Source organism: Homo sapiens, chromosome 1 (assembly GCF_000001405.40).
Source record: "Homo sapiens chromosome 1, GRCh38.p14 Primary Assembly".
Classification (NCBI taxonomy): domain Eukaryota; kingdom Metazoa; phylum Chordata; class Mammalia; order Primates; family Hominidae; genus Homo; species Homo sapiens.
In genome coordinates, this window is record NC_000001.11 from 155857541 (window position 1) to 155885525 (window position 27985).

The 27985-nt window shown below is 46.2% G+C and overlaps 2 protein-coding genes across 7 annotated transcripts in view, besides 3 other annotated features; one reads left to right on the forward strand and one right to left on the reverse strand.

Moving 5' to 3' along the window:
* GON4L (gon-4 like) overlaps positions 1–1891 on the reverse strand; it is a 114320-nt gene extending 112429 nt beyond the window's left edge. For all 4 annotated transcript variants that reach the window (XM_047423299.1, XM_006711394.5, NM_001282856.2 and 1 more), the window contains exon 1: positions 1764–1891. The gene's annotated coding sequence lies outside the window, so the exon portion shown is untranslated. The remainder of the gene's footprint in view (positions 1–1763) is intronic.
* Positions 40–627: an enhancer, noted in NCBI's record as "H3K4me1 hESC enhancer chr1:155827371-155827958 (GRCh37/hg19 assembly coordinates)". NCBI's record gives its function as "activates a minimal SCP1, AML or CMV promoter by ChIP-STARR-seq in primed H9 embryonic stem cells {active_cell/tissue: H9 hESC(primed)}" and the evidence as "EXISTENCE:reporter gene assay evidence [ECO:0000049][PMID:30033119]".
* Positions 1868–1977: an enhancer, noted in NCBI's record as "active region_1821". NCBI's record gives its function as "activates an Ori minimal core promoter by ATAC-STARR-seq in GM12878 lymphoblastoid cells {active_cell/tissue: GM12878}" and the evidence as "EXISTENCE:reporter gene assay evidence [ECO:0000049][PMID:35858748]".
* Positions 2027–27659, forward strand: SYT11 (synaptotagmin 11). Of its 3 annotated transcripts, none has more exons than XM_017000759.3 (4): positions 2027–2255; positions 10425–11251; positions 22960–23083; positions 23649–27659. In XM_017000759.3, the coding sequence occupies exons 1-4, from the start codon at positions 2222–2224 to the stop codon at positions 23966–23968; spliced, it is 1305 nt and encodes a 434-aa protein (XP_016856248.1). In that variant the 5' UTR covers positions 2027–2221; the 3' UTR covers positions 23969–27659. The 3 variants fall into 3 exon arrangements, with proteins under 3 accessions (XP_016856248.1, NP_689493.3, XP_005245071.1); NM_152280.5 differs by having other exon boundaries at positions 23658–27659; XM_005245014.4 differs by having other exon boundaries at positions 22960–23080; positions 23658–27659.
* Positions 2168–2267: an enhancer, noted in NCBI's record as "active region_1822". NCBI's record gives its function as "activates an Ori minimal core promoter by ATAC-STARR-seq in GM12878 lymphoblastoid cells {active_cell/tissue: GM12878}" and the evidence as "EXISTENCE:reporter gene assay evidence [ECO:0000049][PMID:35858748]".
* Positions 27660–27985: the final 326 nt, after the last annotated feature.

A 27985-nucleotide genomic window follows, 5' to 3' on the forward strand; every position in this document is an offset into this window, starting at 1 on the left:
CTAACATGGTGAAACCCCGTCTCTACTAAATATACAAAATTAGCTGGGCGTGGTGGCGCACGCCTGTAATCCCAGCTACTCCGGAGGCTGAGGCAGGAGAATCGCTTGAACCCGGGAGACGGAGGTGGCAGTGAGCCGGCATCGTGCCACTGCACTCCAACCTGAGCGACAGTGAGACTCTGTATCAAAAAAAAAAAAAGATTAACAACTAATTTTTCTCACTACGAGTCACCTGGAACACAGGACCAAGGGACTGAAGAAGTCATAAAATGCCAGAAAAAGAAGTCTCTAAATTACAAATAGTGCAGGCTCCTGATTAAAACTAAGGCACTCTTGGACTCAGGCTATAGTAATTATTCATATATGTACAATATTCTGCATTTTACAAAATGCTCTCACATTTTCTTAGGTGACTTGGTCTCCACAATAGACTGTAAGATTATTATATCATATTCCAGTTTGCACAGGACAAAGTTCTGGCTCATCTGAGTAGGTGATTTCACAACGGTACACAGACAGCTATCAAGGAGAATCAGGTATTAAGTCTCCTAACTCTAGCTAATAATGCATTGACCCAGTGTCCAGGAGGCTGCCTGGGGTGTAACAGATGTTCAATAATTCAATACGTGCTTTTTGAATGAGCGAATGAATGAATGACTTCTAAAATGATGTTATTTCCACTTTTCTAGAAAAACAATGTCTGGAATCCACGGAGATTAAAAAAATAATAAAAAACAGAATGTCAAAAGGTGGAAAAATACTTTCAACCCCCTCATTTTACAGGTAAACCACCAACACAAATTTATACATTTGAACTAATCCTATCTGTAAACAGAATCCAACGGATGAAATTATCCACAGCCAAAATGAAGGTTGAAATTTATGCAAACATGGCAGTAGTCTGACTAACCTGAATCACACCAACTCTCCCAAATACCAAGGAAGACTCCAGAAGCTCGGAGTTTCATGTGTGTTGTTCTTTGACCTACAGAATACACAGATCTTTCGGTTTGGCCTCTCTCATACGAAACCCTAAGCACTTGAGGTTCATGAAAAAAATTCAACACTGATTAACTTTGGCACTTTTCATTAGTTGTTTTTTTTTTTTTTTTTAAACAGCTTTGCATACCACAATATCCATCTGTTTTACGTGTACAACCAAATTTTTTTTTTTTTTTTTTTTTCAGACGGAGTCTTGTTCTGTTGCCCAGGCTGGAGTGCAGTGGCGCGATCTCGGTTCACTGCAACCTCCACCTCCTGGGCTCAAGCGATCCTCGTGTCTCAGCCTCCCAAGTAGCGTGTGCCACCACGCCCGGCTAATCTTTGTATTTTTAGTAGAGATGGGGGTTTCACCATGCTGGCCAGGCTGGTCTCGAACTCCTGACCTCAAGTGATCTGCCCGCCTTGGCCTCCCAAAGGTTTGGGATTACAGGCATGAGCCACCGTGCCCGGCTGTTTTTTTAAAATTAGTAAATGTTCAGAGTTGTGCAACCATCCCCAGGTTTGGTCTTTCATCAGAGTTTCTGAGGTTTAAGACAGTTTCCATCCACTGTGAAATATAAGCCAAAAAAAAAAGTTCTGTAATAACCTTTAGCGGTCTCAGAAATGCATAATGATGGCAGTCGATACTGAAATCCAGGCAGTACAGAATTTTATTTTCCCAAAATTCTGGAACTCAGGACCGAGAACATTTTGCTGCTGTATTAAAGCCCAGAAAACTGAAATCAGAGGATTTCATATAATAATCTACCTATGCTTCTTACCCTTCAGTACTTTCTCGTTTTGGAACCACAGCGCGTCAGTGGGCGCGGCCTCATTCTCGGGAAAACTCGGCGGTGGGAGGAGTCCCCTCCGGGAGAGCTTCCTGAAGGGGGCGAGGGCTGACTTCCGTAATCTTTCGGAAGAGGCGGAGTCTTCTTCCGAGGACCATTCGGAAGAGGCGGAGTCTTCTTCCGAGGACCATTCGGAAGAAGGCGGAGCCTACCTCTCATCAGGACCAGTCTGACTGCACCTGCATCCTTAGCTCAGCGCATCCCCGGAGCATCTTAAGAGCTGAGCGCAGCTGACAACTAGGGGCCGGACCGTCGCAGGAGGCGTCCGCTGGATACCTTCCCCCTTCCCTGACCTAGAGCTCTACAGCTGCTGCCTCGGTACTGACCGAGGGTTCCCAGAGCTGTCTCACCATTGCAAAAACGTTATAGCAACAGCCTCTGATTACGACATGGCTGAGATCACCAATATCCGACCTAGCTTTGGTAAGTAGACTCGGGAAAACTAAGCTTGAGGTGGTCAGAATGGTTGCAAGGCCAAGGGGGCCCAGCGGCAGGGCAGAGAATGCAGCCCAGACCAGAGCCTTCAAAATGCCAGCCCCACTAAAATCGGGCCTGTGGTGGTGGGTAGTGGGTAGTGGGCAGTTGACAGTGCATGAACTTGAGCTATGGGCTGCAGGGACTGGCAGGGCCTGAGCCACACCGAGGGTGGGGAAGTCCAGGATGCTAAAACCTTGTATGGTGCACTGTCAGCACTGCTGGAGGTGAGAAACAGCAAGCGTGCGGAGGATGTGAACCCCTCCTTCTGGGGGAGGAGAGGTGGGGTAGGCCAAGCCCTCCCCCTTGGGGCACACAGGGCGGTGCCCCTTCCTCCCCCTCCCATTCCTAAGGGCTGCGGGGGAGGGAAGTGACAAGGGGGATGGGGCATCAAGATGGCAGCTTGGAGACTGTGGGCCGTGTGGCTGGCAGCCAGGGGAGGCGGCGGCCTCTGGGGAAAGAGGGGTGCGGGGTGGGGAGCAAAAAGGAAGCCACTCCTTAAGCCGGTCAGCTGGATGCTGGGGCTAGGAGGAAACGTGAGCCCTGCAAGCTCCATTCCGCATCGTAATGGTGGGGTCCCTCCGATGCTACCAAATGGCGCTTGGCGCTGCTGGGCTGGGGGATGACGTGATGTCTATTTCTGGGCCTCCTGGCAGCGCCGACGCTCTCCTTCCGGGGCCTTTGTTCCCTGTTTCCCTGGGCCGCCTTTTCAAAAAGGGGGACTGACCAGCGTTGATGCTGGCGGGGGCGCGATCCAGGCCGGAGGGGGAGGGGCGAAAGAGGCCCAGCCCGGGGGAGGCCGCTTTGTGTACCGCAGAAAGCATTACGTCATTTCAGAGCGGCTGGTCCCCGACCCAGCCCTGTGGGCTCCAAGATTAGTTTTACACTCTCTGGAGCAGAAAGTGGAGTGGAAAATAGGGAAGAAGGTGGCAAAGACAAGCTTGAGAAGGAAGTTTTTTCCTCTTTGGGGACTCCTGCAGTATATGCTAAAGGAGCAAACTTCCTGTGTTATGCTTTCCTGATCAAATAAATAAAATATAATTGCCCTGCTTCTCCTTGATTCAGTTTAGATGGGGGAAGCCAGTGAGAGTTGCTGCCAAAGAACCTTCTTATTCCTTCAGGGATTCTATCCCTCAGACAATCCAGTAGGTTTGAGCATCGGGACTCCAGTTTTTAGGGTGGAGACACAATCCAGCTAGGAAATGGCTTTTCTCATTCCTGAATAAGAGGTACAGTGAAATGAGCAGAATCCAGTGTGCTCTATCCCCTCAGAATAAGGAAGAAGAAATCAAATCAGATGTGTTCAGATAACTGATCTTCACACTCATTAACTACTTGTTCTCACTTATTCCACAAGGCTAAATCTTGATGGTATTTTTTCTTCCACTTCACCTTCCGCATCTTTATTCTTTGAGTTCTAAGTTTCCAAAACAAAAGTCCCTTTCATGATCACATGAGCAATCCATGATTTCTTCCTGTTCTTTTTCTTCTTATTCCCTTCCAACAGATTCCTTTCTCTAACTGCAGTTCCAGAATCCTTGAAAAAAGGAGATGGTGTGGAACATAATATAGTGATTTCTCTTAGAGGGACTATTATTGGGAAAGGGAAAATAAATTATATCAGCCTGTTACATACTACATTTTATTTAATCCTAACAAATACCCTCGAGTGTATGTATTATTATATATACTTGCCAGACAAGGAAACCAAAGCTCAGAAATAAAATAACTTGGCTAAAGCCAAACAAATGACTAAAGGTAGCACTAGTTTGTTTTTGTTTTTGTTTTTGAGACGGAGTTTCGATCTTGTTGCCCAGGTTGGAGTGCAATGGCGTGATCTTGGCCCACCACAACCTCTGCCTCCTGGGTTCAAGCGATTATCCTGCCTCAGCCTCCCAAGTAGCTGGGATTACAGACAAGTGCCACCACACCCAGCTAATTTTGTATTTTTAGTAGAGATGGGGTTTCTCCATGTTGGTCAGGCTGGTCTTGAACTCCCGACCTCAGGTGATCTGCCTACCTTGGCCTCCCAAAGTCCTGGGATTACAGGTGTGAGCCACTGCACCTGGCCAATGCTAGGATTTAAACCAATGTCTGGCTGAAGCCAAAATTTATTCTCATTCCATTGTATTATATTTGTCTACTTGACTGCGAAAAGCTATGTTTAGGAAAGGGGGTGTCAATAAAAGCAGTTCTGGTCAGAAGCTGAAGGAGCTGGCCAATAGCCCAGATGTGTCTTGCAGGTCTTTAAACCATTACAGAGGATCTCCTACATAGAGAACTACCACTTCCAACTTTTTCACATCTCATAGAGTACTTCATTTCAAATGCCACAGCACTTGGGTGATACACCAAGCCAACACTCAATTATCCATGACCATGAAGGACAAAAGGAGCGAGAAGCACAGGTCACTGCAATTTATAGCTACTTTAAAACACTCACTTCAGCCATTAGTTTCAACTTCCATTTCCCACCAAGCTTTGGACTAAAGCAAGACAGAGAGCTCTAGGTTTTAATATCTTTGATGATTCTAGCTCATTGTCTTGGTTTCAGGGAGAGAGGCAAGAGTTAACAAATACTAAAATGAAGAAAGAACAGCAAAAATAGGAAACAAGGCCAGGGGGAACAACTAGATAATTCAAAGATGCGTTCATCTGTTTCTCTTCTTTTCCTTCTCTATCCTCCTGGAATATGAGAATTCTTCATCTTCTCTCTTTTCTACCCTATCTCCATTTTCTAACAATAAAAGTTGATGCATTGTAAATATGTAAGCAGCAGTGGGTTGCCCCCCGCTCCTCCACCGCACTGCTGCAGGGAATAAATCTATGATAGAGCCAAAAGAATTGCCCAGGTGTCTCCTAATCTAAGCCTTCAGATCTCTCTTTATGATCATTCCAAAAAATATGCCTGTCTTGGTAGTTTGCTGTGTTCCTCTTCTCATAGAGACAGTGTTCAGTTTCACTAATGAGTAGCAAACAATTTGCAGGAAAGCACCTGATTGATGAATGGAGAGCCACTTCCTTAGGCTGTGCCCATTCTTAATGGCAACTGAATCCAATTAGTTGTTCAACCAAATATTTACTGAACTCCTATTAGAAGCAAGAGACTCTTGAGGGATTCAAAGATCCATAGGATATTGTTCCTGCCTGCCTTCAAGTAGCTTACTACCAAGGCTGTCTCCATTTTGTGAAAACTTTCCCTAAAAGCTATTTCATTTAATACTTTGAGACTAAACACTATTATTATTCGGTATGGATATAGACATGGTCACCTTGATTTATTTTGTTAATAATGTTTTGCTCCTTATCTATATTATTTTAAAATGTACCCGGGTACAGTGGGTCGTGCTTATAATTCCAGCGACTCAAGAGACTGAGGCAAGAGGATCTTGAGGCCAGGAATTCAAAACCAGACTGGGCAACATAGCACCTTGTCTCTAAAAAAAATTTTTTTTAATTAGCCAGGCATAGTGGCATGGTCCTGTAGTCCCAGCTATTCAGGAGTCTAGGGTAGTAAGATTGCTTGAGCCCAGGAGTTCAAGGCTGCAGTGAGCTGTGATTGCACCACTGCACTCCAGCCTGGGCCACAGAGTGAGACCACGTCTCTAAAAAAATAATAACAATAAATATATATTTTAAATAAAATGTAACTCTTCCTTGGTTAGGCATGGTGGCTTGCACCTGTAATCCCAGCAATTTGGTGGAGACTAAAGCAGAATTGCTTGAGCCCAGGAGTTCAAGACCACCTGGGCAATATAGTGAAGACTCATCTCTAAAAAAAATTTAAAAATTAGCTGGGCATGGTGGCTCATGCCTGTAATCCTAGCACTTTGGGGGGCCAAGGCTGGCAGATCACTTGAGGTCAGGAGTTCGAGACCAGCGTGGCCAATATGGTGAAACCCCGTCTCTACTAAAAATACAAAAACTGGCCAGGTGTAGTGGCATGTGCTGGTAATCCCAGCTACTCAGGAAGCTGAGGCAGGAGAATCACTTGAACCAGGGAGGCAGAGGTTGCAGTGAGCCGAGATCGCGCCATTGCACTCAAGTCTGGGCAAAGCAAGACTCCATCTCAAAAAAAAAAAAAATTAACCAGGCATGATGGCACATGCCTGTAGTCCTAGTTCCTCAGGAGGCTGAGGCAAGAAGATCATTTGAACTGGGGAGGTCAAAGCTTCAGTAAGCTGCGATCATGCATGCCACTGCACTCCAGCCTGAGTGACATGGTGAAATTCCATCTCTGCAAAAAATACGAAAATTAGCCAGGTGTGATGGCATGTGCCTGTAGTCCCAGCTACTCAGGAGGCTGAGGCAGGAGGATCACTTGAGCCCAGGTGGTGGAGGTTGCAGTGGGCCAAGCTTGTGCCACTGCACTCCAGCCTAGGCAATAAAATGAGACGCTGTCTCAAAAGAAATAAAAAAAGTAAGCTCTACCACAATGCCTGGCAGGGACATATAAATTTACACAAAAAATAGCAATTTTATTATTGTCACTGCTATACACAATATTACATGTATATTATGACCAGTGCAGATGAAATTATACCTGCCTCTCATGTAATCTGGACATTATGCTCATAGTATTGTGCTCATGATGCTCATAGGCTTTCTAGAGAAGATAAACCCTTCATCTAGGTTTGGAGGGAAGAAAAAGCCATGGATTGGTTGGAGAGGATAGGAGAGGATACCTCTAATAGAAGGGAAAACAGTAGGCATTATACTAATTATAGTCCAAGATTGTGGTTGCCTAAATTCCTAAGTCATTTTTGACTCATCAAGTGAGGTTATTGACTATAAATAGGTTTTTGAGTCCAAATAGAAATTTACATTTATCCCTGATATATGTAATCATCTTGACTCAATCCTTTTTTTTTTTTTTTTTTTTGAGATGGAGTCTCACTCTGTCACCCAGAATGGAGTGCAGTAGCACAATCTCAGCTCACTGCAGCCTCCGCCTCCGAGGTTCAAGCTATTCTCCTGCCTCAGCCTCCCAGGTAGCTGGGATTACAGGCACCTGCCACCATGCCAGGCTAAGTTTTGAATTTTTAGTAGAGACAGGGTTTCACCATGTTGGCCAGGCTGGTCTCGAACTCCTGACCTCAGGTGATCTGCCTACCTCAGCCTCCCAAAGTGCTGGGATTACAGGCATGAGCCACCGCACCAGGCCTCAATCCTCTCTTTCTAATCTGTGGAGGCTGTTTTGAATTCACTGACTCTTTTGTTCACTGAACGCTTACTACATGCCGCATAGTTCTAGGACGTGGAACTATAGCAGTGAACAAAACAGACAAAGTTGCTGTTTTATTAAGCTTGTCTAGTGATCAAAGAAAGATAATAAATATATGTCAGGATAATAAGCTCCATGAAGAAAATTAAGGAAGGGTGATGGGGACATTATCTTACTTGGGGCAGACAGGAAATATTTCCCTCATCCAGTGAGGTTCGGGGCTCACGATAAGTGAAGCAGTGAGCTGCACAGATGCCTGATACAAGAATGCTTTAGGCCGGGCGCGGTGGCTCATGCCTGTAATCCCAGCACTTTGGGAGGCCGAGGCAATTGGATCACTTGCGGTTAGGAGTTCGAGACCAGCCTGACCAACGTGGAGAAACCCTGTCTCTACTAAAAATACAAAAATTAGCCGGACATGGTGGCGCATGCCTGTAATCCCAGCTACTCGGGAGGCTGAGGCAGGAGAATTGCTTGAACTCTGGAGGCGGAGGTTGCGGTGAGCCGTGATCGTGCCATTGTACTTTAGCCTGGGCAACAAGAGCAAAACTCTGTCTCAAAAAAAAAAAAAAAGAATATTCCAGAAAGAATCGGGGAAATGCTGGAATTATGTCTATTTCCTTTTCTTTTTTTTCCTCGCTCTGTTGCCCAGGCTGGAGTGCAGTGGCACGATTTTAACTCACTGCAACCTCCACCTCCTGGGCTCAAGTGATCCTCTTACCTTGGCCTCCCAAATAGCTGGGACTACAGGCATGTGCCACCATGCCCTGCTAATTTTTGTAATTTTTTTGTGTAGAGATGGGGTTTTGCCATGTTGCCCAGGCTACATTTATTTCCTTAGTTCTCCCTCCCTTCCAAGTGGTCCCCTAAAAAGTAAAGTGGAAAAAACTATAGGCCTAATCTGGACCTTTAAAGCCTAAACCCAATTTAGCCTCAATGAACTTGAGGGAGCGAAGAAACTTGAGGGTCCAATTTTTGTGGGAAAAGATAAGACTAGGGTAAGGGAAACAAAAAAAAAATCTATTTCTCTTTCTCTTTTTTTTTTCTTTTTTTTTTTTTTGAGATGGGGTCTCGGTCTTTTGCCCAGGCTGGAGTGCAGTGGCACGATCTCAGCTCACTATAACCTCCACCTCCCGGCTTCAAGTGATTCTCCTGCCTCAGCCTCCTGAGTAGCTGGGATTACAGGTGTGTGTCACCACACCTGGCTAATTTTTGTATTTTATTTTAGCAGAGACAGGGTTTCGCCATGTTGGCCAGGCTGGTTTTGAACTCCTGACCTCAGGTAATCTGCCTGCCTCAGCCTCCCAAAGTGCTGGGATAACAGGCGTGAGCCGCCACACCCGGCCTATTTCTGTTTAGTTATTTGTTCATCCAACACATAGTGCCTGCTATGTGTTTTAAGTGCTGAGGGTACAGCCGTGAACAAAACAGACATAAATTTTTGTCCTCATGAGACTTATATTCTAGTGAAGATAAATAATAAATTGTAAAATAATATGCGTGTGGGTGTTTATTCTTACATATTTGTGTATGTATTTTATATATTTTTTTCTTACATGTGTAGGGGTGTGTGTATCAGAGAGCGAGAATGACGGCATGTTGAAAAAAATTAAGCAAGGCTAGGAAGAGTGGGTGGTGAGGATGGAGAAGATTGCACTTTTAAATAGGTGAGTCAGGAAAGGCCTAAGAAGGTGACATTTGAGCAGAGATCTGACATTTTCCACTAATAGGGAAGAAAACCCCTATTTCTTCCAGTGAAGGATTTATTAAGGTAATAATAATGAAAAGAGAAAGTCTCTATTTCTTCCTATTTAGAATAATATATGTATACATAAATACATATATATACACACACACATATATACATATATACACACACATATACATATATACACATACACACACACACACACACACACACATATATATATATACATACATACACACACCTATTTTTTTGCCTACAATGGATATATTCATCCTGGAGGAATACCTTTTTTTTTTTGAGACGAAGTCTTGCTCCATCACCCAGGCTGGAATGCAGTGGCACGATCTCAGCTCACTGCAACCTCTGCCTCCCAGGTTCAAGCGATTCTCCTGCATCAGCCTCCCAAGTAGCTGGGATTATAGGCACATGCCACCACGCCCAGCTAATTTTTTATATTTTTAGTAGAGACGGGGTTTCACCATGTTGGTCAGTCTGGTCTTGAACTCCTGACCTCAAATGATCCACCTGCCTCAGCCTCCCAAAGTGCCGGGATTACAGGTGTGAGCCACTGCACCCAGCCTTGTATTTTATATACCTGGGAGCTAAAATTTTGGAACATATTTTAAAAGTACATAAACCCAGAATTCTTCCTTTTGGCACCCATCCATTTTTACTACCCTGAACACCCTACCAAGACCATCTAAACTCATCTCCACACCCTTCCACCCTAGCCTGACAGCGAGTCAGTCAGTGCAGGCCCTGTTCTGGATGCTATGGAATATCCTGAAACCAAACATCTTGTGTAACAGTTGAAGTGAACAGGTGCTCATGTAAAAAGGTGATCTTAGAACACGTACAGAGCAGCTTTATGTGAAGCACAAATCAGTATGAGCAAACCAAGTCTATAAGTGCTGAGAGAAGGTCTAGGAAAGAACATAGAGTCAAGTGGGGTGCTTCAGAGAAGGCTTTCTATAGAAGGCTGGGAGGAAAAGCCGTGGAGTGGTTGGAGAGGTTGGGAGAGGGTGCCTCTAATAGAAGGGAAAAATTCTGAAGCCCAGATGAGCACATTTTGCTTTAGAGGCTAGATTGAAGATTAGCTTGGCTCCAGCAGTGGCAATGAGCAGGGGAGATCTAGACAGGAGGTGAAGTCCACCCGCCCTGACACATCTCTGATCTCCGCCTTCAGATGTGTCACCGGTGGTGGCCGGCCTCATCGGGGCCTCTGTGCTGGTGGTGTGTGTCTCGGTGACCGTCTTTGTCTGGTCATGCTGCCACCAGCAGGCAGAGAAGAAGCAGAAGAACCCACCATACAAGTTTATTCACATGCTCAAAGGCATCAGCATATACCCAGAGACCCTCAGCAACAAGAAGAAAATCATCAAAGTGCGGAGAGACAAAGATGGTCCTGGGAGGGAAGGTGGACGTAGGAACCTGTTGGTGGACGCAGCAGAGGCTGGCCTGCTAAGCCGAGACAAAGATCCCAGGGGGCCTAGCTCTGGATCTTGTATAGACCAATTACCCATCAAAATGGACTATGGGGAAGAACTAAGGAGCCCTATTACAAGCCTGACCCCTGGGGAGAGCAAAACCACCTCTCCATCATCTCCAGAGGAGGATGTCATGCTAGGATCCCTCACCTTCTCAGTGGACTATAACTTCCCGAAAAAAGCCCTGGTGGTGACAATCCAGGAGGCCCATGGGCTGCCAGTGATGGATGACCAGACCCAGGGATCTGACCCCTACATCAAAATGACCATCCTTCCTGACAAACGGCATCGGGTGAAGACCAGAGTGCTGCGGAAGACCCTGGACCCTGTGTTTGACGAGACCTTCACCTTCTATGGCATCCCCTACAGCCAGCTGCAGGACCTGGTGCTGCACTTCCTTGTCCTCAGCTTTGACCGCTTCTCTCGGGATGATGTCATTGGCGAGGTCATGGTGCCACTGGCAGGGGTGGACCCCAGCACAGGCAAGGTACAACTGACCAGGGACATCATCAAAAGGAATATCCAGGTGAGTAGGAAGTGTGTGTTGGGGAGCAATGGTAGGTTGGGGGAGAAAATATCTCAGGGGATAAATGGAAGTGGGAGGGGAGTGGGTTGGGTGGCAAAGAAGGGCTGTAGAGAGGAAGCTCTTGGATGTCAAGGATAAGCAGTGGTCAGAGTAAGACAGAGGGCCTGGCAGATGAGGTCTCCTCTAAGAAGCAACTTCCTGGTGAGAGAAGGTTCAATAGCTTTCACCATTTCACTTAGTGGTTGGCATCCTGATGCTGTCCAGCTTACTTGGAACAGGCTGGCCTACCATTTGTAGATCCTTCATTATATCAGGGATATGGGAGCTAATTTCCTCTCCAAAATGATGTGATCTTCCTCCAGTGAATTTATTTTTCACAGCTGAGAAGCTATGACAATAATTCAGTAATTTTTCCCTCAGCTTCCCTTTCCCAACCCTAACCTAGGGGTGTAAATGATACCATGTACATGTCTTTTTTTTTTTTTTTTTTTTTTTTGAGACAGAGTTTCACTCTTGTCGCCCAGGCTGGAGTGCAATGGCGCAATCTCAGCTCATTGCAACCCCCACCGCCCAGGTTCAAGCTATTCTCCTGCCTCAGCCTCCCGAGTAGCTGGGATTGCAAGCACCCATCACCACGCCTGGCTAATTTTTTGTATTTTTAGTAGAAACGGGGATTCACCATGTTAGCCTGGCTAGTCTTGAACTTCTATCCTCAGGTGATCCACCTGCCTCGGACTCCAAAAGTACTGGGATTACAGGCATGAGCCACTGCACCCAGCCGTCATGCACATGTCTTCTTATGACCATTTTACAATGCAATTCAATGAATTGCTTCACCCTTCTAGGCCCAAACCTTTGCCATAGACACTTCCCCTCTCTCCATTTCTCCTGTCCTCCCTCTTTGTATTAGAAGAGGGACGAGGGCCCTCCATCCTGCCTTCTCTCTCCCTCTTCCCACTGGACCGACATTGGCTCTTGAGTTGTAATTTCAGGAGCACAGTAAGTGTAGCCCCACCCAACCCCATTAGTTCATTTATTTCTTCCACAACTGGGGAGGCAGTGAAATGCTGCAGTTAAACACTTGGGCTCCAGAATTGGACTGCACGACTTTACTCTCCAGCTTACCACTTGCCAGCCGTGTGACACGGGTGAGTTACTCGACCCCTCTAAGCCTCTATTTTGTCATTTGTAAAATGGAGCTGATAATATTGTCTTCCTTACAGAGAATCAAATGAGATAATATGCCTGGCATATGATTGCCCTTGAAGAGGTTTCACTTTATTGAAGGAGAAAGACAAATATTTTTTGTAATTACTGTATAGTGAGTATGGTAGGTGCTATGAAAGAAGTTGTTGAAATTTTAAACTTAGAGTTTCATGTCTTTTTCAGGGTATAACATAAGTGGTTAAAATAGCAAGGACTTTGAAGTCAGACCTGAGTTTAAATCCAAATTCCACCAGCTAAATGACCTTGGGCAAGCTGCTTCACTTTCGCTAAGTCTCAGTTTCTTATGGGAATAGAGTAGGATGATGATTTTATATAGCTACTAGGACACAGTGAGCCTTCAATAAATTGTGACCGTTACTATTATTGTTATTCCTATTATTAGTCAAGTTTGATACCTGGGTGATGCATGTGGTTTGTAAATATTTATATTTTGTTTTGACACAGTGAAGGAAGACAAGGGAGGAATTGGTGAAGGAGGTTAGGAAAGAATTTCGAGGCCACTAGAAACAACTGCACATCTCCCAGAAAGAGCTCTGCCTGTGGGCAGATCATACTTATTTCTTGATACCTTTTTTACCTGCAAGTCCTCACTGGACTCAGTGGGTAGACAGGAGGCTCAGGACTGGATAGAAGAGGCTCCTAAGTTAGCAGGTGCAGAGTGTGCAGTGAGTACCCAGGAACAAGGTTTGCCTGCTGAAGAAGGGTACTGTGCCAAGTCTGGGTGGGGGACAGCAGGGAGCACACTTTGTGTGTGTGTATTCTTGCCTTCTCTGCTCTGTAGTAGGCACCTGTCCCCCTGCAGCCAGCCCGGTCCTGCCTTTCATTGCCTGAAGGAACTGCTACTGCCACCTGGCACACTCAGATCCATGTCACAGGGGCCAGGGAAGTCCAAGAATCTTGAAGAATATTAGACACATTTGTGATTGTGATTTAGGGTAGAGGTGGCCCTCAGGACATCTGGCCCCAAGAAGGGTTTATTGAGGTTATGTTCATCCACCTAATACAAGGGCTCCTTGGCTAGAAAATCACTCTGAAAGAGGTTCTGCTAATTATAGGAAAACTTGGTGAACGTCAGAGCATAAACAAGACACTGCCACAACATCTTGTGGTTCTCAATGCCAGGATACAATGAGACATCCCAGAGTCCAGCCCTGAAGGGGTTTTCGCATCCTCTGAGACTGGAATCAGAAGGTGTGAATAGAAATGGAAGCAGTGGCCTGTTTCATCCCCTTCTCTCCCCTCCCCTGTCCCATCTTTTTTCCTCAGGGCTCTGCCGACCCATTCTGCTGTTTCCGTATTCCCTTCACAGCAGCTCCCATCCTCTACTCCTTCCCTTGTCTACCTCTCCTTGAAGGAGGAGCCTTTCCAATACACCCTTCCCTGTGACTCCAACCTTGGTAAAGTCACCAACCAGCTGGACTCCTCCAGACAGCTATACACTTGCAGCCCAAGGCTGGGAGTAGAACATGGCTCTGTGCCAAGCTGCAGCTGGGAAGAGACTGGCAATGAAAGGGACTGATTTGGGCTGGGAACAAAACAGCCTCAAATCAAGGGCACTGGACACAGCACAGACAATGGCATTTGCTAAGCTGCCAGGGGCTCTTGGCAAGAGCCACATTTCTTTCCACTTTATTAACTCCCTTGAGGAGGGATAAGCCAGGGCTAGGATCCTGAGCAACACATGCCCTGGAGAAGGCCCGAGATAGGTTACCCAGAGCCTGTGCAGCCCCACCCTAGAGCCTTCCAGCCTCCCAGGCTTCCTAAACCCATTTTCCCAACCAGTGCCCGTAGGCAGGACTATGTTCCATCTGAGCCATGGCTGTCATCTCCCTAGTCACTCATCCACTAGGTTCCCTAGAAGTGCAGGCTGCAAATGTCTATCCCAAATCCTCCCTACCATAGCAAAGTAGGATCTCTCCTTGGTGAACGTCAGCTAGAGCTGCCCTGGACCATGCCACACTGGCTGTAAAGGGCTTTTTCCTGGTCTGGATTACATAGACCAGGAAAAAGCTACTGCACTCTAGCCTGGATGACAGAAGGAGACCCTGTCTCAAAATAAAAAATAAAAAATAAAAAATAAAAAAATAAAAGAAAATATGGCCAGGCACAGTGGCTCACCCCTGTAATACTAGCACTTTGGAAGGCCAAGGCGGGAAGCCCAGGAGTTTGAGGTTGCAGTGAGCTATTACCACAAACTGCACTCCAGACTGGGCAACAGATCATGTATGTGTATTGCAGGGAGGAAAAGGGGGATGGGATTGAATGTTAAGGTTTTGTTTTCCCATGGTTGTGATTTAGGCTAGAGGTGGCCCTCAGGACATCTGGCCTCAAGAAGGGTTTATTGAGCTTATGATGGTCCACCTAATACAAGGGCTCCTTGGCTAGAAAATCACTCTGAAAGAGGTTCTGCTAATTATAGGAAAACAGACTATCCCTTGCCTAAGTATTATTTCTTCTGAGTGTATTCTTTAGGACCACTGTTCCTGTTCCTCTGTTCCACTGAAGGAGCAAGGAGATTGCCCTCAGAGAGCCGAGCCCCGCAGCTCTGTCAGGCATGAGAAAATCCTTTCTCCCCCTTGTCCTTCTGCTTGCCTGCCCCCCAACAGGGCCTTTGCCTCACTAGGCCAAGGGGCTGGGAAACAGAGCTTGCTCACAGCCTTCAATGGCTCTTTCAAAAGAAAGAGCCATTGACATAGCTACTTGGAATGGGAATTGGGTAGAAAGAGAAAGGGAGGGAGCTTGAGGGAATGACATTAAATTGCCTTCAATGCAGAATGGAGTGGCATTCAGGTGGTGTTGTGGCTACAGACTTGGGCATCACAAAGCGGCGCTGAGTGGGGATGGGCATGCTGCCCGTGTGAGATGGCACAAGGTGAAGGAGGGATCAGATGGAGGACAGTTGCCTGAGGAGTGATTTTAAGGGAGAAAAAAATGAAAAGGGTAACCAGAAGTTGTCAACTTTCCCAAAAAACTAGGAAAGAGGCATGGGGATTTTGATTAGGAAGATTTTCCTAGAATGGATGATTTAGGATACAGAATTTTAAATAAGTAATCGGGAAACCTAAGCTATAATCTTGTCATTCGTGTTATTCTTGCAAATAAAACTGTGCTTTTAAAATCAGATGTCGGCTAGGCGCGGTGTCTCAGGCCTGTAATCCCAGCCCTTTGGGAGGCCGAGGCAGGCGGATCACAAGGTCAAAAGATTGAGACCATCCTGGCCAACATGGTGAAACCCCGTTTCTACTAAAAATACAAAAATTAGCTGGGCGTGGTGGCACGTGCCTGTAGTCCCAGCTACTCAGGAGGCTGAGGCAGGAGAATTGCTTGAACCCGGGAGACAGAGGTTGCAGTGAGCCAAGATCACGCCACTGCACTCCAGCCTGGCGACAGAGCAAGACTCCGTCTCAAAAAAAAGAAATAATGAAACGTTGCTTTTCCCCCACCTATCCTTCCTCTGTATATAAAGTTAGAATCATATTTAAAGACTGCATATTTAGTATTTAGATACTCAGTATTGAAGGATGGCCCCAGAAATGGATATATCAAACCTAGCTAACATTTTATTATTATTCATGGAAACAGACGGGAGCAGTAGCCAAAACAATGCAAAAGTCCTTTCTAGATCAGTGCCGTCTAATGATGATAGAAATGTTCTATATTTGCACCATGCAGTGTGGTAGCTACTAGCTACATGTCGCTATTGAGCACTTGAAATGTGGCTAGTGTAACTGAGGAACTATAATTTTAATTTTATTTAATTTAAATTAAAATGTAAATAGGCACGTGTAGCTAGTGGCTACTGTATTGGATAGCTCAGTTCTGAATGTTTTGGAATCCATTCAATTTTCTTTTCCATATGGGATTACTTTTCATTTGATGTGGCTAATAGTAAAAATGAGTTTATATTCACTGATTACATTCTGATTTCTGGCAAAAGGAAAAAGCCCAGAAGTATACTGGTTGGCAAGAGCAACCAGACTGTAATTCAAAACTGGCTGAGGGCCAGGCATGGTGGCTCACGCCTATAATTCCAGCACTTAAGGAGGCTGAGGTGGGCGGATGGCTTCCACTCAGGAGATCAAGACCAGCCTGGCCAACGTGGCGGAAACCCCAGACATGGTGATTCACGCCGGTAATCCCAGCTACTCAGGAGGCTGAGACACCAGAATCGCTTGAACCCAGGAGGTGGGGGTTACCGTGAGCTGAGATCGTGCCACTGCACTCCAACCTGGGTGACAGAGCAAGACCCTGTCTCGAGGGGAAAAACAAACAAAACAAACAAAAACACATTGGCTGAGGGACCAAGCATGGTGGCTCACACCTGTATTCCCAGCACTTTGGGAGGCTGAGACGGATAGATCACTTGAGCCCAGGAGTTTGAGACCAGCCTGGGCAACATAGCAAAACCCCATCTTTACCAAGAATACAAAAATTAGCTGAGCCTGGTAGCACATGCCTGTAGTCCCATCTACTCAGGATGCTGAGTTGGGAGGATCACTTGAGCCCTGGATGTCAAGGCTGCAGTGAATGCACACCACTGCACTCCAGCCTGGGCAAGAGAGTGAGACCCTATCTCAAAAATAAAAATAAGGCCGGGCGCGGTGGCTGACGCCTGTAATCCCAGCACTTTGGGAGGCCGAGGCAGGCGGATCACGAGGTCAGGAGATAGAGACCATCCTGGCTAACACGGTGAAACCCCGTCTCTACTAAAAATACAAAAAATTAGCCGGGCATGGTGGCAGGCGCCTGTAGTCCCAGCTACTCAGGAGGCTGAGCCAGGAGAATGGCCTGAACCCGGGAGGCAGAGGTTGCAGTGAGCCGAGATCGCGCCACTGCACTCCAGCCTGGGTGACAGAGCAAGACTCCGTCTCAAAAAAATAAAAATAAAAATAATAAAAATAAAATAAAACTGGCTGAGGATACTTTCCATGGATACGATTAAGAGCTGACAATAGGCCGGGCATGGTGACTCACGCCTGTAATCCCCGCACTTTGGGAGGCTGAGGCAGGCAGATCATGAGGTCAGGAGTTTGAGACTAGCCTGGCCAATGTAGCGAAACCCCGTCTTTACTAAAAATACAAAAATTACCCGGGCATGGTGACATGTGCCTGTAGTCCCAGCTACTCGGGAGGCTGAGGCAGGAGAATTGCTTGAACCCAGGAGGTGGAGGTTGCAGTAAGCCATCGCACCACTGCACTCCAGCCTGTGTGACAGAGCGAGACTTCATCTCAAAAAAAAAAAAAAAAAAGCTGACAATACATATGTTATGGGTAAGGACAAAATGTGGGGCTTCTCTCTAGCAGAGAAAAAACATGAAAATATTTTTAAAGTTGATCCCCTTTTGTATTTCAATTTCAAAAGCTAAGGAGTGGGTTTAAACCTTGGTTAGATTTTTTTTTTTTCTGAGACAGTCTCACTCTGTCGCCCAGGCTGGAGTGCAGTGGCACAATTTCAGCTCACTGCAAACTCCACCTCCTGGGTTCAAGCGATTCTCCTGCCTCAGCCTCCTGAGTAGCTGGGATTACAGGTGTGCACCATCATGCCCCACTAATTTTTTGTATTTTTAGTAGACGGGGTTTTACCGTGTTGGCCAGGCTGGTTTTGAACTCCTGACCTCAAGTGATCCGCCCTCCTCGGCCTCCAAAGTGTTAGCATTACAGGCGTGAGCCACCATACCCAGCCTAGTTAGTTATTTTTTATGCCCTGTGAGAGACATTTCCATATGCTCCTAGGACGAAACATAGACTCAATAAATTTTTAAAATCATGTGAAATATCACAGTTTCATTCCTGGAGATGACTTAAGGCCTACAATCAAAGCACAAACTATTAGGCTTATTTCTTGTTTTTTATTGATGAGTTAATTGGCATATTTGCTGCCGCTGTTCTTTCCTGCACCAGACATACCTGAGTAGATAGTGAACTAGCCTGGGAGCTTCTTAAGGGTAGGATTCCTCAGTATCCATCTTTTCAGCCCTAGCTTCTAGCAGAGAGTGCCTGGCACTTAATAAGTGCCTAACAAGTCATTTTTGTGGGTGTGTGGTGTATATAAGGTTGGTGATGAGCATAGTCTATTTTTGCTCAATTTAAGAATTCCTGGAGTAGATGACATTTCTTTGGGGCTTTGAAGAATACAAGGAATAAGGGTGATTGTGGGGGTATGATTTTGTCCCAAATTTAACTTATTATGTTCTACATTCCTCAAAACTCACCTCCCTTTTTTTTTTTTTTTTTTTTTTTCTTTTGAGACGGAGTCTCGCTCCGTCTCCCAGGCTGGAGTGCAGTGGCGCGATCTCGGCTCAATGCAAGCTCCGCCTCCCAGGTTCACGCCATTCTCCTGCCTCAGCCTCCCCAGTAGCTGGGACCACAGGCGCCCGCCACCACGCCCGGCTAATTTTTTTGTATTTTTAGTAGAGATGGGGTTTCACCGTGTTAGCCAGGATGGTCCCGATCTCCTGACCTCGTGATCCGTCCGCCTCGGCCTCCCAAAGTGCTGTGATTACAGGCGTGAGCCACTGCACCCGGCCAAAACTCACCTCCTTTTGTTTTCTTTATCCCAGCCTCATCCCCACTTTCTAAAGCTAAAAACACAAGAAATAGTCCACCCTTTCCTCCCTCTTCCCTACGCTTCACAGCCAATTAACTGCCCAAGCCTAAAAACCCCTGACAATTCTTCCTGAGACATATTTTACCTCCATGTCCATCTCCTCTGCCACAGCCCTAGTTCCAGTCCCAATCATTTCTTCTGTAGCACGTTGCTACAGAACAACGAAGTCTGCTTTTTTGAGATGGAGTCTCACTCTGTCGCCCAGGCTGGAGTGCAGTGGCGTGATCAAGGTTCACCTCAACCTCCACCTCCTTGGTTCAAGCGATTCTCCTGCCTCAGCCTCCTGAGTAGCTGGGGTTACAGGCGCCCGCCACCACACCCGGCTAATTTTTCTATTTCTTTTTTTTTTTTTTTTTCCTGAGACGGAGTCTTGCTCTGTTGCCCAAGCTGGAGTGCAGTGACTACAATCTCGGCTCACTGCAAGCTCTGCCTCCCGGGTTCACGCCATTCTCCTGCCTCAGCCTCCTAAGTAGCTGGGACTACAGGCACCCGCCACCATGCTTGGCTAATTTTTTTGTATTTTTAGTAGAGACAGGGTTTCACCTTGTTAGCCAGGATGGTCTCAATCTCCTGACCTCGTGATCCGCCCACCTCAGCCTCCCAAATTGCTGGGATTACAGGTGTGAGCCACTGCGCCCGGCCTAATTTTTCTATTTCTAGTAGAGATGAGGTTTCACCATGTTGGCCAGGCTGGTCTCGAACTCCTGACCTCAGGTGATCCACCTGCCTTGACCTCTCAAAGTGCTGGGAATAGAGTCGTGAGCCACTGCGCCCAGCCACAGCAGCTTCTTTTTGACAGGGTCTCACTCTGTCACCAAGGCTGAAGTGCAGTGGCTCAAACACAGCTCACTGCAGCTTCGATCTCCGGGGCTCAATCAGTCCTCCCAAGTAGCTGGCTCTATAGGCACACGCCACTGCGCCCAGCTAATTTTTTTTTTTTTTTTTTGAGACAGAGTCTCGCTCTGTTGCCCAGGCCGGAGTGCAGTGGCGCAATCTCGGCTCACTGCAAGCTCCGCCTCCCGGGTTCACGCCATTCTCCTGCCGCAGCCTCCCCAGTTGCTGGGACTACAGGCGCCAGTCACCACGCCCGGCTAATTTTTTTGTATTTTTTTAGTAGATACCAGGTTTCACCGTGTTAGCCAGGATGGTCTCGATCTCCTGAACTCGTGATCCGCCTGCCTCGGCCTCCCAAAGTGCTAGGATTACAGGCATGAGCCACTGCTCCCGGCTATAGCGGCCTCTTAACTGAGCTTTCTGATGTTGGTCTTCCTCGACTTTAGCTCATTTTCCACCTTTCTCTGAAATAATAATAATTTTAATAAAATGATGACAACTGGCCAGGCATGGTGGCTTACACCTGCAATCCCAGCAGTTTGGGAGGCCAAGGTGGGCGGATTGCTTGACCCCAGGAATTTGAGATCAGCCTGGGCAACATAGTGAGACCCTGTCTTTACAAAAAATACAAAATGTAGCCTGGCATGTTGGTGCACACCTGTAGTCCCAGCTACCTGGGATGCTGAGGTGGGAGGATCTCCTGAGCCCAGGAGGTGGAGGTTGCAGAAAGCCGAGATCTCACCACTGTCCTTCAGCCTGGGCAACAGAGTGAGACCCTGACTCAAAAAAATGACAGCTTTGCCACTCCTATACTCACCAACCTCCTCTTGTATGGGTGCTGCTGACTCTGCTCTTTGGTAGTGTCCCAACAGCCCTTTACTCTAGCCTTGCCCACCTTTCCAGGTTCCTGACCTACCCCTCCTATCAGCCACCCCCACTTCAGGCATATTCACCTCTCAACCATTCTCTGAACACAGCTTACCTTTTCAGGCCCAACTCCTTTGTACCAGCCATTTCTGTCAATCTGCCTGATATGATCATCCCTCTGCCCATTGCTTCATGGTTTTGTACCCCCATCAACTCAGTCCAGGCATCAGCTGGTAAAGCCTTCCCTGAATCTCCATGGCCGGGCGCGGTGGCTCACGCCTGTAATCCCAGCACTTTGGGAGGCCGAGACGGGCGGATCATGAGGTCAGGAGATCAAGACCATCCTGGCTAACATGGTGAAGCCCCGTCTCTACTAAAAATACAAAAAAAATTAGCCGGGCGTGGTGGCGGGCGCCTGTAGTCCCAGCTACTCAGGAGGATGAGGCAGGAGAATGGCATGAACCTGGGAGGCGGAGGTTGCAGTGAGCCGAGGTCTCGCCACTACACTCCAGCCTGGGTGACAGAGCGAGAGACTCTGTCTCAAAAAATAAAATTAAAAAATAAATAAATAAATTAATTAATTAATTAATTAAAAAAGCCTCCCCTGAATCTCCCAGCTCTAGGTGCCCAGAGCACTTAGACAGGCTTCTCATTTCTCTGACAAGTCCCGCACAGGTTTATTTACTTCTCTGACTCTTCTACTAAGTGGTAAGCTCCTTGGGAGCAACAACTGAGTCCCATCAGCTCTGGATCCTCAAAACCTGGCATGCAGTGCCTATGAAAATGTTCTTTAAAATGTTCTTGGAGGGGCCAGGCACGGTGGCTCACGCTTGTAATCCCAGCACTTTGGGAGGCCGAGGTAGACAGATCACTTGAGGTCAGGAGTTCGAGACCAGCCTGGCCAACATGGTGAAATCCTGTCTTTACTAAGAATACAAAAATTAGCCGGGCATGGTGGCGGGCACCTGTAATCCCAGCTACTCTGGAGGCTGAGACAGGAGAATCACTTGAACCTGGGAGGCAGAGGTTGCAGTGAGCCGAGATCACGCCACTGCACTCCAGCCTGGGCGACAAGAGCGAGCCTCTGTCTCAAAAAAAAAGTTATTGGAGGACTAGAGGTTTTTTCAAGCTCAAAATGGAGCCTAGCATCACATTTAAAGATGGAGAAACAAAGATCAGGGTGCTGGGGAGGAAGCTGACTTGGCTGGAGAAGATACACTGGAGTGCACATTGGGGTGGGCAGAGCAGGTGTGGATATTCACCCTGTGAAATGCAGGGACAGGTTCAGGGACTTGCCCAAGGACATGTGGTGAGTAAGTGGCAAGGTTAAGATTCAAACCCAGTTCTCCTACCTCCCACTGTACAGTCTTCAGAACTTTTTAAAGGATAAGAACCAAATGAGAGGATGCACTTCTATAGTGCGCACTATGTGCTGGGCACCATTGCAGTTTACAAATTTTAACTTATTTAATCCTTCTGATAATGCTATGTGGTAGGTACAACCTTTCACCCACATTTTATAGGTGAGGAAACTGAAGTACAGAGATGTTGAGTAACTTGTCCAAGGTCACAGATAAGAAATAGCAACTGGGCATGGTGGCTTATGCCTGTAATCCCAGCATTTTGGGAGGCTGAGGCGGGAGGATCACTTGAGACCAGGAATTCAAGACCAGCCTGGGCTACACAGTGAGACTCTGTGTATAGAAAAAAGAAAAATTAGCCAGATGTGGTGGCACACACCTGTAGTCCTAGCTACTCAGGAGGCTGAGGTGGGAGGATTGCTAGAGTCCAGGAGATGGAGGCTGCAGTGAGCCAAGATCACGTCACTGAATTCCAATCTGGGCAACAGAGTGAGAACCTGTCTCAAAAAAAAAGAGAAATAGTCAGGATTTGAATCCAGGCTAATCTGGCTCCAGAGGTCATGCTCATAAATCCAAGGCTATGTGGGCTCTCCATGCAAATTATTTAATATCAGAATTATGGTTATAATGTTTCCTTTCTCCCTCCTTGTTAAATAAAATCATAACACCTTTCCAGGGGATGAGCATCTTTCCAAAAAACTTATCATCCCTGCACTTGTCCTCCCCCAGACTCTTCCCACTGCTCTGCACACTTTTTGTGCTCTGCCCTGCACCCTCTGCCAGGATTCTCACCTGCCATTTTTTCCTCACAGAAGTGCATCAGCAGAGGGGAGCTCCAGGTGTCTCTGTCATATCAGCCTGTGGCACAGAGAATGACAGTGGTGGTCCTCAAAGCCAGACACTTGCCGAAGATGGATATCACCGGTCTCTCAGGTAGCAGCTATTTACTTCAACCTATTTCTTACTGTCTGAACCATCCCCGACTCCTTGCCTGTGGCCCAGATAGACCTCCACACTTCAAGATCCTTGCCTCTTTCACTTTTAATCTGCTCCTCTTTCTGTAGACATTCTCTTCCTGATGAGTATCTACGTCCAATAGATTTCCCTGGCTAGGAAGATTCTTCAGTTGAACAAATGGGGTCTTTACATTTGGCAAGGTATCCTAAATAATATTCATGCCAGGTGCTAAGAGAGACTTCTCAAAAAGGCTGCAGGCATTTGTCTCTGTGCCCTTTAATATACTTCTTGGTATCATGGGATTTCTTCAGACCTAACCTGAGAAAGTTGTTCTGTTCTATTCCTGCTTGGTTTCCTTGGCCCCTCATCCAGGCAGGCAGACTCACATATAGTCAGTGTGTGTTTATTGTGCAATCACTAAAGAACACATGGGATGGCCATCAAAGATACGAACAACAGAGCCCCCCCTTTCCCAACATGAAATTACCATTACATAGGAGAGGACTGTGTCATAGGTCTGTCTCCCTTTTTCTTATCTCTTTGGGGGCCCCAGATCCTTATGTCAAGGTGAACGTCTACTACGGCAGAAAGCGCATTGCCAAGAAGAAAACCCATGTGAAGAAGTGCACTTTGAACCCCATCTTCAATGAATCTTTCATCTACGACATCCCCACTGACCTCCTGCCTGATATCAGCATCGAGTTCCTCGTTATCGACTTCGATCGCACCACCAAGAATGAGGTGGTGGGGAGGCTGATCCTGGGGGCACACAGTGTCACAGCCAGTGGTGCTGAACACTGGAGAGAGGTCTGCGAGAGCCCCCGCAAGCCTGTGGCCAAGTGGCACAGTCTGAGCGAGTACTAATCCTGTTCTTCTCTCCTCTAATCCCCGGGGGCCAAGCTGGGGAGGGATGTGGAGGGGAAAAAGATGACAGAGAAGTGGACTCCAAACCTCATTTTAGTTGTAGAAGAAAATTTCTTACAAAACAAATTCCACAAAGAACACCCTATATGACCACAGCTGCAGATCAGTTCTTAGCAATGATGTTTTTTTTTCTGCTTTGCAAGGCGCTAGAATCTTTTATTTTACTTTATTTTTTTTGAGGTGGAGTTTCGCTCTTGTTGCCCGGGCTGGAGTGCAATGGTGAGATCTCAACTCACTGCAACCTCTGCCCTCCAGGTTCAAGTGATTCTCCTCCCTCAGCCTCCCAAGTAGCTGGGATTACAGGCACCCACGAGCATGCCCGGCTAATTTTTTGTATTTTCAGTAGAGATGGGTTTCACCATGTTGGCCAGGCTGGTCTCGAATTCCAGACCTCAGGTGATCCACCCGCCTCGGCCTCCCAAAGTGCTGGGATTACAGGTGCGAGCCACCGTGCCCGGCCTCTGGTTTTGTTTTGTTTTTTTTTTTTAATGGGGGACAAAAGAGAGGGAAAGACCCCTATAAATCTATATATAACAATGTAACCATATACTTGCATGTCTAATACAAACTGAAGAAATTAGCCTAACTGCCAATATCAAGTTGCAGATTTTAATCCATGGAAATTGTGTTTTGTGCTGAATTGTATTTGCTGATTACCTGAAATTGGCTTCTTTTTATTGGGCTTCTCTGGAGAATTTCTCCCACTCCCCACCTCTGCAGAAGAAAATTTTGCTCTTATAAAACCTCATGTTTTCATCATTCCCATCTTTTCTTTTTATTGCCTCTTATATCTCTGCTCTTTGACCTCAAGGTCTAGAGGTCTGCAGTAAGCCAAGAAACAAAGGTGGGGTGGATGAGGCAAGGTTTGCAGGAGAAAGAGGAATTGAGAAATGGGGTATTTTTGCTATCAGCTCTTCTGCTATGAAGTAGTAAAAGGCAGTCTATAATTAACTGACAGACCTAACTGAAGCACAGAGAATACATCAGACTTATGCATCCAAGACATCAGAACTTGGATTTTATCAAACTTGATGACTTCTCTAAAAGGAGCTTTGGAAACTTCAAATTCAGCTATAGGATAGTACCAATGAACACATCCAGCTGATCCCAAAAGCTGTTTTCAGGTATAAGGACAAGGAGAGGAGACAAGTGACGACAGCCATTCCCCTTTGCAGCTATCTACTGTAGTGACAGCCATTTCTTGGTTGATGGGTTGGAAGTCATCAGAGGTTTGAAGAATTACACTGGCCTTTGTTTTTCTGGAAATGCCGACCATGGAGATGCTTTAGAGTCTTCTCAAATAGCTTAGATGTTGTAATGAGGTTAGCTTTGCTTCATAAAACAGGGGCCCTCAGAAGTTCTCCTTAAATTTTTCAATAAAAATTTAGCTCTTAAAAAAATAACAGTGTGACTGAGTGAATGAAGATAAGTTGGATTCTTTCAGAGCATTCTTTTCCTCAAAACGAGCTGCATAATTCTTGGAATTTATGTCTTACCACATGGTGGAGGGATGGAGGAACTACAGGATGCAATTCTTCTTCTACCAATGGGCAATAGAGGTTGAGAGAGATTCAGCATCTTTCTGGGATTAGAATTCAAGTCTCTTTACTCCTACAGCAGCTGTGTCTCCAACGTTGAGACTTTGCAGATGGCACAGACTCCATGGATAATAGGTAAACTTGGGGCCGGGCGCAGTGGCTCACGCCTGTAATCCCAGTATTTTGGGAGGCCGAGGTGGAAAGATCGCTTGAGCCCAGGAGTTCAAGACCAGCCTGGGCTACATGACGAAACTCCATCTCTATCAAAAATACAAAAAATTAACTAGGTGTGGTGCTGCACGCCTGTGGTCCCAGCTATTCAGGAGGCTGAGGTGGGAGGATCATTTGAGCCCAGAGGTAGAGGCTGCAGTGAGCCATGATCATGCCACTGCACTCTGGGCTGGGTAACAGAGTGAGATCCTGTCTCAAAAATTAATTAATTAATTAATTAAAATAAACTAGGTAAACTTGGATAGGCAGTAGATATTTTTGCCCACCTGAGGAGGAACTCAGTCAAGCTGTTGCTTAACAGCTTGATCCAGGGCGTGAAAGGTTAGTTGAGACTGAAGTGTTCACTTCCATAGAAGAACATCACTTTTAACCTTGCTTTGGCGAAGGGAGTCGGAAAGCTGAGTCTCTATGGACGGGGGGGTGATCTTGCTTTCAGTGTTCCCTCAGCTTTTGTGGATTTAAAACCATTCTGCTCCCCCTAAACCTTTTGTTTGATTTCAGCCCATGTTCTTGACAATGCAGAGCAATTCTGAGCAGTCACAAAGCCTACTCTCTGTTCTTGTCCCTGCCAACCCCCACCCCCCATAATCTGACTCACAACTTCACCATCAGTTGGGGTCATACCACTAGTCTCTGTCCTATACCCCATGAAATGTAAATACTGTATCATAAGTAGAAGAAAATAATTTTTGTTTTCTAAAAATGCATTTTGAGATAGTTTAATGTAAATCTGACAGGAGCATTCTGAAGCCCCATTAGGAAAAAATTTAAATGGTTCCTCTTCATCGCCTTAATGTCTAAAGATCAGAAATCGCTGAGCAAACCCGCTTTTGTTTCCTTCCCAGAAACAATGCAAAACAACAGGTGGAGATAGTCTGGTCTTTGCCCTGCTGTGTGTGCCTCTGTAGCTCCTCCTGACAAACGTCTGGGAAAACAGCCTCACCCCACTCTCCTCTCTCTTCCCCATTTCCTTGTAGCTTTATTCCTTGCATCTTTGGGTCTACTGAGCAGTGGGTGCTGAGGTGACAGGGGAGGAACCAGTTGTTCTGTAGCCTAGGAACTGCCTCAGTGTCTTTGCCAGAAAAAGGCAAAGAGGCGGACAGTGCAGGGCTCCTCCCTCCTACCTCAGGCCTGATCCATCGTGCCCTTGACTTTGCCGTCTCAAAGTTTCTTAGCTGACTTTGGCTTTCACATTTGTTCTTTCCAGAGCTAACTGATAAGAGTGGAGGAGGAATGCCTTCTCCTAAGAGTCAGTTGAAAGAAAGACAAGAGAGTCACATCTTAGCTTTTGCACAAGGCATTCGTGGTCAGGAATAGGTTAGGGAATGGTCACTTCTGATTTTCCAACAGTTGCTCCTTCTCTGAAGAGATCTTGATTCCTTTGGGAAGACAAGAATTTTTCTTAATAACAAAGGTCCCTTTATGAGTTATTCCTTCTTTCAGTTCATCTCACTGGAGCACAGCCAAGATGGACATGTTTATGGACAGTGCTCTAGATGTGAAAACAGATAGAACTGGTTTGTGGGACAGGGGCAGCTTGCTCAGGAGAGGGAATAACGCAGGTCCCTTTTCTTGGAAGGCTTGTACTATGGCCATGACAGTGACATTGCCCTCACCATGATCCCTCTCCAAAGTGGTTGTCTTTCTTTACCTTGTGTCTTCTCTTGTAAAAATGAAACTCAAAAATAAAATAAATGTGTCAAATTTTGAAAAAAAAAGAAAACTGAAAAAGCTAACATGAATTGTGTGAAATTGCATAATGCTGTAATGCTAATCTACAATATGTAATGCTATCTTGTATGTTGAATTTGTTAATGCACCACACAAGTGCAAAATAAAGACTGATTCACATTACATAGGCACAGTGATGTCAGCCTGATTCTCTGGAAAGCTGGAGGACTCTCAGTGAGGTTAACACTCAGACTCCAAAAGGATGTTCTAGGGTGTGTTTTCCAAACTGTGGTCCCCAGACCACTTGATTCAGAATCATCTGAGGCACTTGTTTAAAAATGCAGATTCCAGGCTCCCATCCTAGATACTCTCATTTGACAAGTGAGTTGGTTTGCTGCTTGCTGTAGTTAGGACTTCTGGTCTTTCTGTTTTCCTCTTGAAATGTAATTTCTGAGACCATCACTACCAGAGGGAGAGATGATGGTTCGTAGTGCTGAGAATCAATCTGCCCCTTTAA

Excerpts from the sequence above, each read along its gene's own strand:
- SYT11 (XM_017000759.3), top strand. The coding sequence starts at position 2,222 with ATGGCTGAGATCACCAATATCCGACCTAGCTTTG. Across the intron at positions 2,256-10,424 it reads CAATATCCGACCTAGCTTTG|ATGTGTCACCGGTGGTGGCC; the intron begins GTAAGTAGACTC and ends CTCCGCCTTCAG. Across the intron at positions 23,084-23,648 it reads TATCACCGGTCTCTCAGGTA|GGGCCCCAGATCCTTATGTC; the intron begins GCAGCTATTTAC and ends TTATCTCTTTGG.